The sequence below is a fragment of the Homo sapiens genome, chromosome 17, assembly GCF_000001405.40.
Source record: "Homo sapiens chromosome 17, GRCh38.p14 Primary Assembly".
NCBI lineage: Eukaryota > Metazoa > Chordata > Mammalia > Primates > Hominidae > Homo > Homo sapiens.
In genome coordinates, this window is record NC_000017.11 from 20,542,850 (window position 1) to 20,560,052 (window position 17,203).

Genomic DNA, 17,203 nt, shown 5'->3' on the forward strand with positions numbered 1-17,203 from the left:
GGTTAAGTTTATAAAATGCCTAAATAATAAAAACTATATTATCAAAGTAAAATGCCTAAACGAGGGCTGGTTTTAATATCAACTAATTAGTAGCTGCCTAATAGTAAGAACTGACTCTAAAATCAAGTAGACAAGAAAATGGTCCTGCCTGTGCCCTCTCCCTGAATGCCCTGTGGGTCAGGGACACCCAATTCCCTTGTCTCCCTTGCTCAAGGCTTGTTGTCCTGGCAACCTTGGAGGAGGTGCAGGAGTGAGGGGCCTCTGCTGCTCTCTGAGGCTGTGGGTGCTTGTAGGGAGTGGGGGGGTCTCCCACAAATGGGTCTGGCTCCTCTAGTAACTTTGAGGGCCCTGTGAGGGGCAGAGCGAGACACCGTGGAAAGTGGGAGGGGGCTTGTTGGAGGCTCTTGCCCACATCCCCCTCCTGCGTACACAACATGTCTGGTATACACACACTGAGCGCCTGCCCTGAGGACTGGTGGGCCTCCTGTACTTTCTTAGAGTCCAGGAGGAAGAGAAGGAAGAAAAGGTGAAGAGGAAGGCCCAGGTAGTAGGGTTGCTGGTCCGGGGCACTCGCCCACTATTGACTGCCCCAGAGGGTGACATGGGAGGGGACATGGCACTGGAGCCCACTTGGGGGTGGCAGGTCCCCTTGCTTCCTTGTTAGTTTCTTCGTAGAGGCCCTAAGATGCTTGAGCACAGTGTCATCATCCGTGGCCCAGGTATGGAAGAACTGGTTCCGAAAACATGCCAAAAGGCCAGACCTGGATGTCTTCATGAGGCGCTCTAGGGACAGGGTGGATATCAGGCCAGGACAGTTACCTGGGAATGGTCACAGCTCATACCCCGTGGCCACTTCAGTCTCCCACTGGGCCGTGCCGGATCCTTTTGTGGCCACCCCAGGCGTCCAGATGTACACAGGAGACTGTGGCTGGGGGGTGATCTGGACAGGGAAGTGCTCACCACACTCCTGACTTTCATCTGGGTCATGTGAGGGATGGGCTCGGCATCACAGTGCCCTTCCCAAGCCCACCTGGCCAGACCTCCCTCTGGGCCAGAACAGAGGATCATGAGGACAGTGTGAGGAAGCTGCCCTTGGGCCAGTCGGGTCTGACCGCAGGGCTCCCCAGGCCCCACTGGGTACACATAGACTTACTCTTCTGAACCTTAAAAGCAATGCTTCTGATCGGCATCAACACCTGTCCTTCCAGCAAATACATGTCCCACAAGCACAGGGTGAGCCCGAGAGAGATCTGTGGGGACAGCAGGTGTGAGACAACCTGGCCCTTCCAGGCTGGGGCTGGTGGCTCAAGCTGCACACATTGGGGCTTCAGTCTCCAGAGTCAGTGACCTTCCCCATGAGGGTCGCCTGAGCCATCTAGAATGGTGGGTCAGACAAGGTCTTGCAGCTCCTCATAGGGGGCACTCATTTGAGTGGGGATGTGGCTCCTGGACAGAGGGGCTTGCCCAGGGCTTGAGGCTTCCCTGAGCCCTCTCAAGTTGGGTCCTGGCCCAGTCTGCCCATGAGGCTGGGCCTGAGCCCCAGCCATTGCCCTGGGATGACCCCTCTTGGGCAGAGGGTTTTGCTTGTGTGTCCTTCGGGGACCCGCCTGAGCCTCCTGTGGGCTGGGAGTGAGCCAGACCCCCGGACTGGGGAAGCAGGGCACTGCAGGGCAAGGAGGGTCCCTGAGCCAGGGTCTCCCTATGCCTCCTTACCCCTTGAATCAACATCCGGAGAAGGCAGCCTAATGAGGAACACTGTCCGCATAGACCTTCCTTGTCCTGATGGGAGGAACAGAGGTGCTCAGGGCCCCCTGGGCTGCCCTAAAAACCTCCATCTTCCAGGGCCTCTGAAGACCCTTCCCCTAGTGCAGAACACTGGGCGGTGTCCAGAGCTCCCCACAACACTGTCCCCTTCCCACACTCTCAGTGGACACACTGACCTTTGACTTGCTCTGCGGGAGCGGGGCCCCCATCCCTGTGCCTCTGTCTCCTCCAGGGCAGGAAAGGAAACAAACTCCCAGCCCATGGAGAACCCGACGTCTCAGGTCAGGCCCTGGCTGGGACTCCGCCAGTCACCAGTCCCACGAGGGTCTCCAGTCCCCCTGCTCCTACAGCCCCACGGGAGGCAAGGCCTCTGAGAAGAGCCAAGGGGACAATAAACTCACCTGATGCCACATGGTCTTGGGTTGTGACTTGGGTACCACATGCTCCTGTTGGTCTTGGAGCCCCTGGACTGTCCCGCCATTTGGGCTGTGGAATCCTGAGAAGCCCCCAGCCCATCATGAAATCAGAGCCTTCCCCCAAGATGTGGAGCCATCAGCTGCAAGAGCTGGGCAGCTGCAGAGGCCCCCAAACCCGAAGGCCTCCCACCCTCCCATCTGGTGACCCCACCATGCGGCCTTTGCCCTGGGGAGGTGGGACAAGAACATCCCCTGGAGCCTGGCTGGAGGTTCCCCTGGAGGCCTCCTGGGCTAGGGTGCAAAAAGGGCAAGCCTGACTTTGAGGTCACAACAGAGCAGCCAGAACACGGTGGGTGCTGGGCTTCCTGGTCATCTTGTGGAAGTGGGGTTGGGCCAGGGGACACGGGATGGGGAGATGCTGCCACCTGGGCTTGGTTAGCCCATTCGTGGGCACCAAGGGCAGCAGGAGCCTGGGCAGCTGGAGGGCAGGAGGACTCTCAGGGAGGGGAGAGTCAGCTGCACAGAGTCAGAGCCGGAGGGCGTGGCTCCAGGACACAGAGGGTGGCCACGGGGAGGATGAGATGCCCTCTGCTGATGGGGATGAAAGGCATTTGACTTGGGCTGTGGGGGTCAGCTGCGGACTCCTGTGGGACCCTCAGCAGAGACGTCCTAAAGGCTCCCAACAAGCTGGCGACACAAGGATGGTGCCTTGGCTGAAAGCCGAGATCACCTGGCCACGGTGGCTGTCCCCAGATCTGGCTGCATGAGGCCCCACGGGCAGCTGTTCACCTACCCGGCAGGGAGTGCCTCTCACTGGCCAGCAGCTGCACCAGTGCCCAGAATGCATCTTCCTCAGGCAGATAAAGGAGAAACAAGGTGGCAATGTGGCTCAGGTCCCTGCAGTAGCCCACCTCCTGCAAGAGCCAGAATCGCCATGGAAGGACATCACCTGGGAGGGCCGAGGTCACCTGGGAGGACTCATGTCATTGGAGAGGGCAGAGGTGACTGGGGAGGCTTCCTCTGAAGAGGCTTCCTCAGGATGCAAATTCATTTCATGACAAGAGCCAAGTCCATCAGGCACTTCAGCACCTTGTCCAAATTGTCTCCTGAGAGCACCGTCCTGCATGTGACACTGCCAAGCTCCCAGGCTTTGGGGCAGCCCCAGGAGGAGGGTGTCATTTCTTGTTCTGAGAAGTGCCCAGGTGACAGGCCCAGGTGACACCAGGAGTCCAGGCCCCAAGTCCTTTGTGTCTCAGCTTGACCCCTTGAGACCACCCCCTTGCTTGGAGGTTTATGCCAGCAGTGACCTGGAATCCTACCTCCTATATCCTGGTGGGTCACAAATACTAACTTTAAAAGAAGCAACGACACCCCCATCAGACACCCACTCCTGTGAATATGGAAATATGGCCCAGGAACCTCACTGCCGGGAATACTCACCGGGTTATACTCTGAATATGCCACAAGGATGTAGAATAGTTCCCGCTGCCTAGGAAACAGAGAAAGGGGGCTAGGGTTTGGTTTGTGCAGATGCTGTTAGTTTCACTTTGTCTACAAATCCTAAAAACAAATCCCATTTCAGGTTCAGATGATTCACCAGATAAGCAGTGAACTTTCAGGGCCTGAGATTATTGAAGAAATGTTTCAGTAAAATCCACATCTGTGACATGCAAATAGCCCAGTTGTACAGGGAGTTGACCGATCCTTTTCACTCTGAATGATTTTTTTTTTTTTTCAGTTTGCACACACGCCAGTTCAGTCTTTGGGTGTACAGTTCCTCCACGGTTCCAAACCAGTGTGCAGAGTCTCCCGGCCACCACTCCAGCCCCTCCTGGAGTGACTCCTGATCTTTCAAATCTCCAGGGTTTCCCCTATGCACCCAGCCTCTCCCCGATCCGTCAGCCCCTGGCCACCCAGACTGCTTCTCAGTCCCTATGGTTTGGTCTTTTCCAGAATGGCCTAGGAATGGGAATCCTACTGTGGTAGCTTATTGGGTCTGGCTTCTTTCCCTTAGCAAAATGCATCTAGGATCCACCCACATTCCTGCGGGCATCACTGGCTCATTCCCTTTTCTCACTGGGTCTTCTGTTTGAAAGGAGGACCAGACTGTCTCTCCCCATTCCCGTGTTGAAGGCCATCCCCGAAGGCTTCGTGTGTGACTGATGAGGAATCAAGCAGTGAACGTGGCATGCAGGTTTCATGTGGATGTCAGTTTTCAAATCAGTGGGTTCAATATCTGTGACACCTTGGGGACGTGTGGTTCAAGTCCATTGAGCTTTGTGAGCCACTGCCCAACTGGCTGCCAACGTGGCTGTGCCATGTCATATTCCCAGCAGACCTGGATGAGAGTTTCCAGGACCCCTAATTCTCCCAGCATTTGGTGCTGTCAGTGTTGCCTGGGGAGGCTCATGGGCTCTCCATCCTGCCACCCTCCCGTGGGTCCTACCATGGGTCCCCGTGGGTCAGGGAGAGCACCTTTCACCATTATGCATGATTTTGTTTGCTGTCTTCTGTCTCCTCAGGATCCTCCTGGGTTCTGGCCCCACATGTTCCAGCCTGGCCCAGGGCTTGGAACCAGGGAGGTGCTTGGTTCATGGTGCCGGCTGCTCCCTGGGCTAGGAGAGCTCTTGGCAGCTCTGTCATCCCTCCTGGGTGATCCTGGCTTCTGCTCTGGGAAAGTCCCCATCCCTCTCATTCACCCCATCTCCTCTGGGACCCTGTGGCTCTCGTAGGCTTACTTCACTCCATATCGATCCCTGAAGAAGACATGGTTCTGGAGAGTCCTGCTCACGTCCAGTTTGATCTGGTGGATGTGTTCAGAAGACCTCTTGCCCTTCTCCTTCATGATCTGTAGGGCAGGGCCAAGAGGAGGAAGCAGCCTCAGAACAGATGGAAGACTCCCTGCCCCAAATGGCAGTCAGCCCACAGTCAGCGCTTTGGGAAGGAAGGAAAGAAGGAAGGTTTCCTTGTGCAGAAAGCTGCTTTTTGGCTTGTTACTGAAGCCAGGGAGGGTCACCAGAGCCGAGTTCATCTGTGGTGACTATGTCACCATCTGTGCCCAGGAAGTGCATCTGACCATCCCCCCCACCCCCCCAGGCTGGGCTTGACGTTCACTCCAGCTGGAGGCCTGGGCCCCTGACACAGCCTGTCCTGTTTGTTGTGCTCTGGCTGAGCATACCTAGTATTTTTTGGGGTGTTTTGACTTGATTTCCTGAATGTTCAGGAGGACTGACAACACCAGGCCCCGGATGTTCATGGGAATGCCCTTATAGATGCGATCTATGAGCTGTGGGCAGAAAACAATCTGGTGTCACAGGCCATGGGGTGACCCCAGTGAGGATCAGAGCCCAGGGATTCTGGAAATTTTTGGTTTTGGCCCCATGATTCCTCAGTAGAGGTGAGATCAAGCTGGGACAGGGTCTCCCTTCCCAGGACTGAAAGAGTGGATGGACACTCAGAGTTGAAACTGTGATCCGAACCTTTTTCTTCCTTCAGGTCACCAGGGCATCCCTAGCCTTGAGCTCCAGGTGGTCCCAGCCCTAGATTCAGATTCCCTCCCAGCAAGGTGACGCTTGCACGAATAGGCAGGCAATCTGACGACCAGGCCTGCAGTCTTCTGTGCAAGGACAGTGTGCCACCCGCCCTCTGAGAGGCTGACGGTGCCAGGCCACAGCCATGGGTGCCTCTCTTCTGTCTCTGCAGAGAGTACTTCCGGGGCCTCTCCCTCCACACATTACCTTTTTGCTGTTTTTATATGACTCGCATTTGCCCAGCATTTCCAGCCACTTGCTCTTTCTTTTTTTCTCCTGCCGAATTTGCTGCCAAATGAGGAATGTTGGAGTTAGCGGAGCTGCCAGGCTTCCCAGAGCCGCCCGTGGATGCTGGGTCTTGGGCTCTGGAGCCCTGGTGGGACCCAGCTGGAAGGAGCCAGGGAAGGGCAGACCCTAAGGGCTGAGAGCCTTTGAGCAAATGAGCGCCAGTGGGCTGGCTTTGGGACCCCAGGATGTGCCATCCTTAGGCCACAGACACACCAGTCTTAGGTCCCAGCCTCTAGGTGGGTTCCTGACACAAGCGGGCAGCCACCCCCAAGCCAGGACTGTGGTTCTCACTTTGGAATTTTATCAAACTGCCAAAGTTACAGCAACTGGGGTCAGGTCTCTGCTGCCCCTCCCAGTGACAGCGTGTTGCCCTCACCCGCCACCGCCCAGGCCAGCTGCTTCCTCTGCCTCACTGACCACCCGCCCAGTCCCTACGTCCCTGGACCAGCCCCTCCATGCATCAGGCTCTTACCTTTGCCTCCCGTGCAGTCACAGGAGGCAGCTCCGTCTCACTGTAAGGCAACTCAGGCAGAGCTGAGGACCTGCACAGGGCCTGGAGCCACCCAAGCCTGGGAGCCGACCCCCAGAAAGGACTGGCACTGTCCCTATCCAGCTCAGGGCTCAGCCCAGGAGAAGTCACAGGGAAGGGAGGACAAGGACCTTCCTGTGGGGCTGACTCCCAGGAGGGGCAGGACCTGGGAGAAGGAGTGCAGGGACAGCCTGGCTGGGGTTACTGGGGCCCTGGCATGGGGGGTGGTCAGGCTGCACAATGGGGCTGCGCGTCCTGGACTCAAGGTGGTGCTTTCTGCTGGAGCTGAGAAAGGTTAGCCCTGAGATGGGATGGGGGCCACCCAGGGTGGGCGACCGGGCCCTGACAGGAGTCCCTCAGGGAGTGACCACATCACCCCGCCAGGGTCAAGGGAGCCTGCCCTGAGACCTGCCCGGTGTACTCTGGGTGCACCAGGGGCCCATCCCACTTGACAGCCCCAAGGCTCTTGCAGGTTCTGACCTCCCAGCATCCACCTGCCTCTCCCTGCATCTGAGCCACACACCCTGCATTTCAGAAGTGGCACGGCTCATCAGCTCCCTCCCACCCTACCTCCCCCGGGATCCTCTGTCTCTGCATCCTATGATCCCCGAGGGATGGGCTCCTGGCTGGGCTCCTCTTACCTGGCCCCAGATGCCTTCCCAGCACCAGACCCAGGTCTTTAGCCACAAGCCCTGCTGCCTCTCTGGTCTCACCATGAGATGCCCAGAGCGGGGCCCTGCCCGTCTTCTCCCCCATTCTCTTTGGGCCAAAGCCCCCACTGTCCCCACACCTTTCCCCCTTCCCCATGGGGACAGTGAGGGCTGTAGTTCTAGGGAAATGGGGGAGGACAGGGGCAGGTGGGCTCTGAGAGACCTGCTGGACAGCAGCCCTGAGGCTGGGCCAGGTGTCTCCTCACCCTGTGGCCACAACCCTTGGATCTCACTGGGGTTGTCTCCTGGTAGACAGGGCCAGAACCTCAGGCTGCCCCGCTCCTCTTGTGCTAACTTGCCGACAGAACTGCTGAGAGCCCAGGGGCCTGGCCTAGCCCCCTCTCCATTCCCACCGGCTCCCTAGATGGGCCTTGCACCTCTGGCCTAACAACAATCTCGGGCTGGACCTGCAGGGGAGCCAGGGAGGAGTTCTGACCCTGGAAAAGAGGTTGGCCCGACCTGGTGAGACATGTCCTGCGTCAGAAAGGCCTTTCTAAAAGCAAACCCATCCCTGAGCTGAGACAGCTGCTTTAGGGGTGAGGGGAGCACAGAGGACTCACTGCAGAATCCCAAAGCGATCAACGCTGCTGTAGATTCCAACAGGTTCAGGCCCCTTGTCCTCTGGCAGCCCAGCTCGGTGTCCCTGTAACCCAGAGGGAGCCTTGGTGAGGGGTCCAAGGTAAAGGGTGCAAGGGCCTGGGGGTATTGGCCACCTGTCCCTGCCCTGTGCTCCGAGGGAACCCAGGACCCTTTGACCAGGGCGCACAGGAAAAGGCCTCCCTCCAAGGAGCAGACCGAACTGTACCTTCTGATACTTCATAATTATGTCCTCCCGCTCCTATGCCTGCACACTATCCGCGCCCTCTACCATGTCCATCCTGTGAGACAAAGTTGTCTAAAGGTTACACTGTACCCGACAGCTTCAGAGAACCCCTGAACTGCTCCCGCTGGGCTCCCAGATGCTGGCTGGTTGTATAACCTGCATTCCACCACTGCGCTCTGGTAAAAAGGGTCCAAACCCCGTGGCCCACACATCCATGGGTCTCTGCAGTCTGAAGCCCTAAGCAGGGGTGGGCATCTTCCCAAGGACTCGAGAAGAGTGGGACCTGGACAGAGAATCCCGTTGTCCCCATATGCCATGAAACGGGCACACACCTGCCCTGGCAGGTTGAATGGTGTCCACCTGCCAAGGGTGAAGAGCCTGTGATGGGCTATTCCAGGGATGTGGATGTGAACTGCGGTCAGGCACCAGAGGTCTCTGTACGATCGGCCTCCTGGGATGCTCAGGGCCACAGAGATGCCCAGTTTCCTATGAGGAACAAGATCTCTCCTGATTGCTCCGTTCTACCCCGCTCATCACTTGGGCTACCATGGCCCTTCAGTCTAACCAGTGAAGCTGCTTTAAGAATAACGCCATTTGAGCAGGAGTGTGTTTGGTTTTGGGGATGAAAATGATCTACTGTCTCCAAAGCAGCCACTGTGCTCATGGAAACCATGTCTCTCGGGGACGGACTGTGGACTCCACCATTCTGAGCTGTCCCTACAGGAGGGGGCTTCATGTTCCTGTGTCACTGATGTAGAAGAGTGGGTCCTTGCTCCTGGAGAACATCTAGATGGACCGTCCCTCCTGATAATACTCAGGGCAAAAGGAAAGCGAGGCCAGACAGAATAAGAAATAGTTGGGGAGAACCCCAGTGCCCGGACCCCTTTGAACACAAGGGAAGTTAGTCTCCCCTCAGCCAGTCCTCCAGGGCTCCTTCACTTTCCACAACTGCCCAAGGGCAGAAGCCTCCCCATGCCACTCCCAGACAAGGGACCATGTGTGTCCAGTGGGTCCCACGGTGACCATCAGGACCCAGCTTAGGCCCCAGGTGTGTTCTGAGGACCCTTCCCTCCTCCCCACCCACAGTGGATCCATTCCAGTGTCTCTGCCAGGGCCAGGCTCTGCCCCATCGGGATCGGAAATCTGGGCAGATTTGGGATCTAGAGCAGGGAGGTCTCAGGGTTGAGGCCTGAAGTCTAGCACGGCACACAGCAGGGCTGAGAGCAGAATCCAGGGTCATGTCTGATTCCCAGGCCGGTTACCGCCTCTCTGACCCCAGATGTCTCACCTGTCGAATGGGTACATTCGGGAACAGCACCCACTCTACGAAGCCACCATGAGGACGAAAGAGAAGGGTCACTGAGCAGGTTTTTTCAGCTCTGAGCAGCTCTCCTTTTTCAGCTCTTGCCGCATCTCGGACTTTCCCAATGACAGCCGTAGCAAGAAGAGATAAGAAACAAGACAAGTTCATGTTGTCCAGTTTTGAGGTCTTGAAAGAAGTTGCACCAGTATGAGAATAGTGGATCAGTTTTCTCTAGGATCCAGAAAGCATATCAGGCAGCCTTGGGGTGAGGAAAGGAGCCCGGCCTCTCCAGCAGCCACACAGGCCTGCAGTAGGATGGGGTTGGGGCTGGCCATGTGGATCACTTGGGCCTCATGAGGGGAAAGGAAATACCAGGGGGCAGAGGAGGAGCATGGGGGCAGCTGGTTGCCTAAGGAGAAGGCACCTCAGGGAAGGGGACTGTATTCTTTTGTTTTCACACTGCTATAAAGAAATACCTGAGATTGGGTAATTTATAAAGGAAACAGGCTTTATTGACTTGCACTTCAGGAAACTTGCAATCACGGCAGAAGGTGAAAGGGAAGCAGGCACCTTCTTCACAAGATGGCAGGAGGGAGTGAGTGGAGAACCAGTAAGTGCCACATTTTGAAACCATCAGCTCTCCTGAGAACTACCTCACTATCCGGGGAGCAGCACGGGGGAAACTGTCCCCAAATCCAATCCCCTCCTACCAGGTTCCTCCCTTGACACAGGAGAATTACAATTCCAGATGAGATTTGGGTGGGGACACAGAGCCAAACCTGTGAGGGTCTCAGTCTATCTTGCAGCTCCCCTGGGGCTGAGGCTGAGTACAGATCTGCTGGCCTCGCCCTATAGCACGCGAGGGCTCTGCCAGTGCGCCCCCATCTGCTGCTTCCTAGGGATGGTGGTGACTTCCTCAAAAGGAGCATAGATTTGCTCTCCTGCTGCCCCTGCAGGGCCTTGTGGAGCCCCGGCCAAGTTCTCCCAGGGTAAGGGGAAGAAACAGGGCTCCTTGCCCTTCTTGCTACTTGAGTGACAACCCTGGAGTCATCCCTAGGCCCCGTCACTGCCCCTGCTTCTAAACTGAGAACATTTTGGCAAATCTTCCTGGCAGAGGCTGGGGGCTCATCCCTGCTATCTGTTCTAGCTTGGTAAAGCCGGGTTAAGACACCTGGGCAAGCAGACAGTAGAGTGGACCCCAGGAAGGGTGGGTGGAGGGCGCTGGCCTTTGGGCTTCCCTGGACTAGGGTGGGAAGGGGGAAGTTTACCAGGAAATAGAGCTCTCAGGACTATGTTTAGGAGGAGGTGGTAATGCTGGTGGGGGGATGTCCATTCATCCATCCATTCATCCATTGTCTCCCCCCACCCCCCATCTCGGACTGTCCCCATGACAGTCCTAGCAAGAAGAGACAAGAAACAAGACAAGTTCACGTTGTCCAATTTTGAGGTCTTGGAAGAAGCTGCACCAGTATGAGAATAGTGGGTCAGTTTTCTCCAGGATCCAGAAAGTATATCAGGCAGCCTTGGGGTGAGGAAAGGAGCCCGGCTTCTCCAGCAGCCACACAGGCCTGCAGTAGGATGGGGCTGGGGCTGGTTTGGGGTGGAGGATAAGTGACAGCCAAGGTTTGTCAGCATGCAGAGGGGTGGCTGACTCATGGACTAGGGGCTGCGGAGCCCAGTGGTTGCCCTTAGTTCTTGGATCCTGGGAGACTTCTGGAGCCTGGATTTGGACAGCCTAGGGGTGGAGGTGGTGAGGGGCAGGGGTGGGGCGGGAGGAGAGGCCTTGCATGACAGGGTTCAGGGCAGGAAGCCAGCCAGGGACTGCTTTGCAGTGGCTGTTCCCATCCCCATTCCCACTCCCAAACCCACCCCTCCCCCACCCTGGTGCAGGGTCGGCTGTGGGCAGGTGTCTTCTGCTTTGGCCTCAGCAGATCCCAAGAGGGAAGCTGGCAGCCACGTGGGCATGTCACTTGTGCCAGCTTTGTCCTGCAGTTTCTGCTTCCTGGAGTGTGGGGCACCCACCCAGGAGAGCACGGGCACACCCCACACCTCTCGTTTTGAGGGTGCTGGGAGGTGTGGGACCTAGGTCCTGCAGCCCTGTGCTTGTGCCGTGAAAATTAGCCTAGGAGTCCCGTGTCCGCCCATCCACGTGGAGCCCCAGGAGCCTGAACAGTGGCATGCAGCGAGATGAGGAGGGAGAGAGAACTGGAAAAGGAGACAGAGAGATGTGGAGCAGGGAATGAGAGAGAGGAAGAGACAGAATAAGAAATACTTTGGGAGAAGTATTTCATCCCTCTGGGGTGCCATGACTCCTCCCTGCTATGGATGGAGGAAAGTGACTGATCTGCCGGAGACATGAAACCACATGATCCTTCCTTCCACAATAAACTGGAGGGTCAAAACAGGCAAGAGTAGGTCCAGGTCTTCTAAAAGCCATACCTGAAATGTTTCCGATAACAGTTGATTTGGTGGTGGTAACTCAATCACACAAACAACCACAACAAAAGACACAACTATCAGAGATTTTCAGATAGCCTCAAAAACACCATCTAACATTAGGGAGTTCAAAAAGGCATGAAGTTTCAAAAAATTGAGCTTTATTTACATATCATTTGCATAAACTGGTAATTTAACAGTATGAATAAATCCTAGGGCAGAAGACAGTTTGGAGACCCCAGGGCACAAGTGCTGAGTTTGGAAGATTTGGTACTGTACCCTTTGAAGCCCTCGCCTGGTCCCCGCACCCCTTGCCTGCCTGTTAAGAAGAGCCCGTACCAGGGAGCAAATCAGGGGCAAATAGCCCAGAAGCCCAGTAGTGGACAGACCTCCATGCCTGGAGGAGGAGGCCACCTCTGAGAGCAGGAGGAGCTGCCCGAACCCTTCCTCACAGCCTCCTTTTCCTGCTCTCAACACCTCCAGCTTGCAGATAGACAGCCCCAGCACCGGCAGAATGAAAAGGTCCTGAGGCAGCAGGGCTGTGGCTCTGGTAAATAAAAGAGGTCTCTCTTTAGTAAGGTAGAGGAGCTCAGACTGCACACCCTGGTCTCTGACACCAAGGCTCGCTCCATGCCCAGGACTAGGGGCAGCGTGGGAGCTGCTGGCTGGGGCCATGCTCGCAACCTCTTCTCTGCCACGTCTATCTCCAGCGATGCTCTCAGCTCCAGGGCTGAGCCCAGTGGCTACGGCAGGTGGCATGAGGTCTGGCAGCTTGTCGCTTTGCTGGTCTTTGGCTGTATCGGTGCAGGGCCCGGAGGACTCTGGAGCTACCTCTAGCTGCAGCACTGCCTCTGGATGGGGACTTCCCCATGCTGTGGGCTGTGGCTCCATAGCGGGCACTGGAAGTTCCTCTCTCTCTGCACGTGCGGCAAGAGCTGAAAAAGGAGAAAGGGTCACTGAGCAGGTTTTCTGTGTCTGAGCCCCAGAGTTCAATCTCTGCTGACCAGACCCCCACTGACCAGACCGCTGAGCGGTGGTGCTCAGAGTCCCCTACCAATGGCTCTTCTCAGTCCACAGACCTCTCCCTCCCCTCATCAGCACCCACAGGTGACTGAGAGTCTTCTCGGGACTGGACCCCAACTCCAGGACACAGGGAGGGGCAGTTTGTCCCAGGCTCCGGGTGCTGAGCTTCACGCTTGTGCCACAAGGTCCTCTGGGCCATCTCAAACGGGGCAGTGATGTGGCCTCGCACATCTGGATGCACTGTCTGGGCCTATTCCTGGGCCACATAGCCAGAGGAACAGGAAGATGTTTGTCAACCCAGGCACCCCACTCTGCTGGGTCTCCCAGGGTCCTTACCATGGAGACCAGATCCAGAGACAGCACAGAGGCCGCAGGGTGACCGGCCCAGAACCCTTGAGACTAGGCTGGGGATGACAGGAGGACTGTCCCCAGACAACCAGAAGACCCTTTGCTAGTTTCTTGGTACTTCATTTCTCGCCTGCTACCGTTACCCCACCAGAAATCCCCTTCATGCAGAGTCAATGAGGAGAGGAAGACGGACACAGAATCTGTGGAAAGAAAGAAAACAAAAGATGGGTGGGGAGAAGAGTTGGGAGTGTAACGTTGTAAGAGTCCTACACTATGCGTATTATTTGAGGGTTGGCTGTGATTAATTAAAGGTGTGTCTTGTAGACAACCATTAACACACTATAAATAAATTTTATATATATATATATATATATATATATATATATATATATATATATATGGAGAGAGAGACAGAGACAGGGTCTTGCTCTGTCACCTGGGCTGAAGTGCAGTGGCCCAAACACAGCTCACTACAGCCTTGACTTCCCAGGCTCAAGCAATCCTCCCACCTCAGCCTCCTGAATAGCTGGGACTACATGTGTGGGCCCCCATGCCTGGCTGCTTTTGAAATGGTTTCTTGTAGAGACAGTTATCTCACTGTGTTATCCAGGTTGATCTGGACCTCCTGCCCCCAAGCAATCCTCCAGCCTCGGCCTCTCAAAGTGTTGGGATTACAGGCATGAGCCACTGCACTCGGCTTACACATGTTTTTAAGAGGCGTAAATGCTCCCTCTCCCTCTCCCTCTCCCTCTCCCTCTCCCTCTCCCTCTCCCTCTCCCTCTCCCTCTCCCTCTCCCTCTCCCTCTCCCTCTCCCTCTCCCTCTCCCTCTCCCTCTCCCTCTCCCTCTCCCTCTCCCTCTCCCTCTCCCTCTCCCGTCTCCCGTCTCCCGTCTCCCGTCTCCCGTCTCCCGTCTCCCGTCTCCCGTCTGCCGTCTCCCTCTCCGTCTCCCGTCTCCCACTTTCCATGGTCTCCCTCTGATGCCCAGCTGAGGCTGGACTGTACTGCCGCCATCTCGGCTCACTGCAACCTCCCTGCCTGATTCTCCTGCCTCAGCCTGCCCAGTGCCTGGGATTGCAGGCGCGCGCCGCCACGCCTGACTGGTTTTTGTATTTTTTGGTGGAGACAGGGTTTCGCCGTGTTGGCCTGGCTGGTCTCCAGCTCCTGACCGCGAGTGATCTGCCCGCCTGGGCCTCCTGAGGTGCCGGGATTGCAGACGGAGTCTGGGAAGTGAGGAGCGCCTCTTCCAGGCCATGCCGTCTAGGAAGTGAGGAGCGTCTCTGCCCGGCCGCCCATCGTCTGAGATGTGGAGAGCGCCTCTGCCCCGACACCCCTTCTGGGATGTGAGGAGCGCCTCTGCCCAGCCGCGACCCCGTCTGGGATCTGAGGAGTGTCTCTGCCCGACCGCCACCCCGTCTGGGAGGTGAGGAGCGTCTCTGCCCGGCCGCCCCGTCTGGGAAGTGAGGAGCCCCTCTGCCCGGCCGCCACCCCATCTGGGAGGTGTACCCAACAGCTCATTGAGAACGGGCCATGATGACGATGGCGGTTTTGTCTAACAGAAAAGGGGGAAATGGGAAAAGAAAGAGAGATCAGATTGTTACTGTGTCTGTGTAGAAAGAAGTAGACATAGGAACTCCATTTTGTTCTGTACCAAGAAAATTTCTTCTGCCTTGGGATGCTGTTAATCTATAACCTTACCCCCAACCCCCTGCTCTCTGAAACATGTGCTGTGTCAACTCAGGGTTAAATGGATTAAGGGCAGTGCAAGATGTGCTTTGTTAAACAGATGCTTGAAGGCAGCATGCTCGTTAAGAGTCATCACTACTCCCTAATCTCAAGTACCCAGGGACACAAACTGCGGAAGGCCGCAGGGTCCTCTGCCTAGGAAAACCAGAGACCCTTGTTCACGTGTTTATCTGCTGACCTTCCCTCCACTATTGTCCTATGACCCTGCCAAATCCCACTCTCCGAGAAACACCCAAGAATGATCAATAAATACTAAAAAAAAAAAAAAAAAGAAACATCATGTTGTACATCATAAATACATACAACAAAAATAAATATTAAAAAAAAAAGAGGCGTAAATACGAAGGTTAGTGTTGCCATGAAGTCAGGCAGGGGTGGTCAAACTATGGCCCACAATCCAGATGAAGCCCCCCTCCTATTGTGAATAAAGGTTTATTGGAGCCACAGTTCCTCCCCTGTGTTCGCTTCTTGTCTGGGGCTGCTTTGGGGCTGCAGTGGCGAAGCTGAGTAACTGCTGAGTAGGTGCAACAAAGACCACAGGGTCCACGAAGCCCAAGATGCTTACTACCAGGTCCTTTGCAGAAAAATCTTGCTGAGCCCTGGGGAGGGACCAGGTGGCACCAGGGAGGCCATTGGGGAGGCTGGTACAGTAATCCAGGTGAAAAATGATGGGAGCTCAGATTAAAGTGGTCATGACAAATGGCTGGAATCAGGATATATTTTGAGGGTATGACCAACAATATATGGATAAAATGGACAGTATTTAGAGTTTCAGATTTTCTTTCTGCCAAAGGATCCCTTTCTTAAACAAAAAAATTATACAAAAGATCAATTAAAAAACTGACCAGGCCAGGCGCGGTGGCTCACACCTGTAATCCCAGCACTTTGGGAGGCCGAGGCGGGCAGATCATGAGGTCAGGAGATTGAGACCATCCTGGCTAACATGGCGAAACCCCGTCTCTACTAAAAATACAAAAAAAAAATTAGCCATGCGTGGTGGTGGGCACTTGTAGTCCCAGCTACTTGGGAGGCTGAGGCAGAAGAATGGCATGAACCCAGGAGGTGGAGCTTGCAGTGAGCAGAGATCAGGCCACTGCACTCCAGCCTGGGCGACAAAGCAAGGCTCTGTCTCAAAAAAAAAAAAAAAAAATTAACCAAAAATCATGTCAACAAGATTATTTGTGTGATTGAAGCTGGGGTTGAGCCTAGGCACCCTAACACCTTTTCAGCACCCCTAACACCCCGGCTGTTCCAGAGGCACCCTATAGAGCCCCTTGGGTTCAGATGAGCAGAACTTGAAACCACAGATCGGAAGGAATAGAAATCTGCGTATCTTTCACACAAGCCATAACATTCTAAGCTGCATCTTTGCAGCACACTGACATGGGGCTACTTCACCCACAGCCAGCAAGCGTCTGCACCAGTGCCGGGATTTGTGTCCACCGTTATAAGAAGGCAGCTGCTTGCATGAGGCATGGCGGTGAGGAAACAATGCCACCCGGATTTCACCATTGGCTGTGTGGACTGGCTGTACCATGGGCCAGATGCATGTCTTGGGCAGACACTTTTTAGATGCCAACTTGCCTGTAGACAAAGATGACGCAGAGGTGGCCTCGGGGATGGCCTATGTGATGGGTTGAATTTGTCCCCTGAAATTCCTATGCTGATGTCCTTAGCCCCAATGCCTGAGAATGTGATCTTATTTGGAGATAGCGTCTTATAGAAATAAGTTAACATGAAAAATGAGATCAGTAGGGGGTGCCCAATTCAATATGACTGATATCCTTATAAAAGGGCAAATTTGGACACAGAGACATGCATAGAGGGAAGACGAGGTGAAGAGACACCGGGAAGGCCACCTACACGCCAGGAGAGAGACCTGGAACAGAGCCTTCCTGCACCGCCCTGGAAAGGGACCTTCCCTGCCGACACCTTGATCTTGGACCTACAGCCTCCAGGACTGTGAGACAGTGAGATTCTGTTGCTGAAGCTGCCCAGTATGTGGTACTTTAAGGAAGCCCTAGCAAACCAATGCAGCCTGGTAGCCCACAGCTGGTGAAAAGATGGAATGAGCAATGGAGACTCAGGCTTCCTGTCTATACTTCCCAAAGTGCACTATGGGATCTTTTGCTGGGTGTAGGTTTGCAAGATAATTTTGGCCGGGGTTGGGACGGTGGGGTGCAGGGTGCATAATTTCAGTGTATATTATCATATGTTTATCTTACTGTGTAAATGCTTGTAAGAACAGTTAACCAACAAAGTTTATATGCTACTCAAGATACAGGTTTA

General features: G+C 55.3%; 2 pseudogenes, besides 3 other annotated features; both read right to left on the reverse strand.

Moving 5' to 3' along the window:
• On the reverse strand, nt 632-7,880 carry TBC1D3P3 (TBC1 domain family member 3 pseudogene 3; annotated as a pseudogene).
• Nucleotides 6,881-7,382: an enhancer, noted in NCBI's record as "H3K4me1 hESC enhancer chr17:20453043-20453544 (GRCh37/hg19 assembly coordinates)". NCBI's record gives its function as "activates a minimal SCP1, AML or CMV promoter by ChIP-STARR-seq in primed H9 embryonic stem cells {active_cell/tissue: H9 hESC(primed)}" and the evidence as "EXISTENCE:reporter gene assay evidence [ECO:0000049][PMID:30033119]".
• Nucleotides 7,383-7,882: an enhancer, noted in NCBI's record as "H3K4me1 hESC enhancer chr17:20453545-20454044 (GRCh37/hg19 assembly coordinates)". NCBI's record gives its function as "activates a minimal SCP1, AML or CMV promoter by ChIP-STARR-seq in primed H9 embryonic stem cells {active_cell/tissue: H9 hESC(primed)}" and the evidence as "EXISTENCE:reporter gene assay evidence [ECO:0000049][PMID:30033119]".
• LOC100132977 (chromosome 2 open reading frame 27B pseudogene) lies at nt 12,153-12,723 on the reverse strand (annotated as a pseudogene).
• Nucleotides 14,981-15,138: a silencer, noted in NCBI's record as "fragment chr17:20461143-20461300 (GRCh37/hg19 assembly coordinates)". NCBI's record gives its function as "represses an EF-1alpha promoter that drives an FKBP-Casp9 reporter gene in an ReSE screen in K562 erythroleukemia cells {active_cell/tissue: K562}" and the evidence as "EXISTENCE:reporter gene assay evidence [ECO:0000049][PMID:32094911]".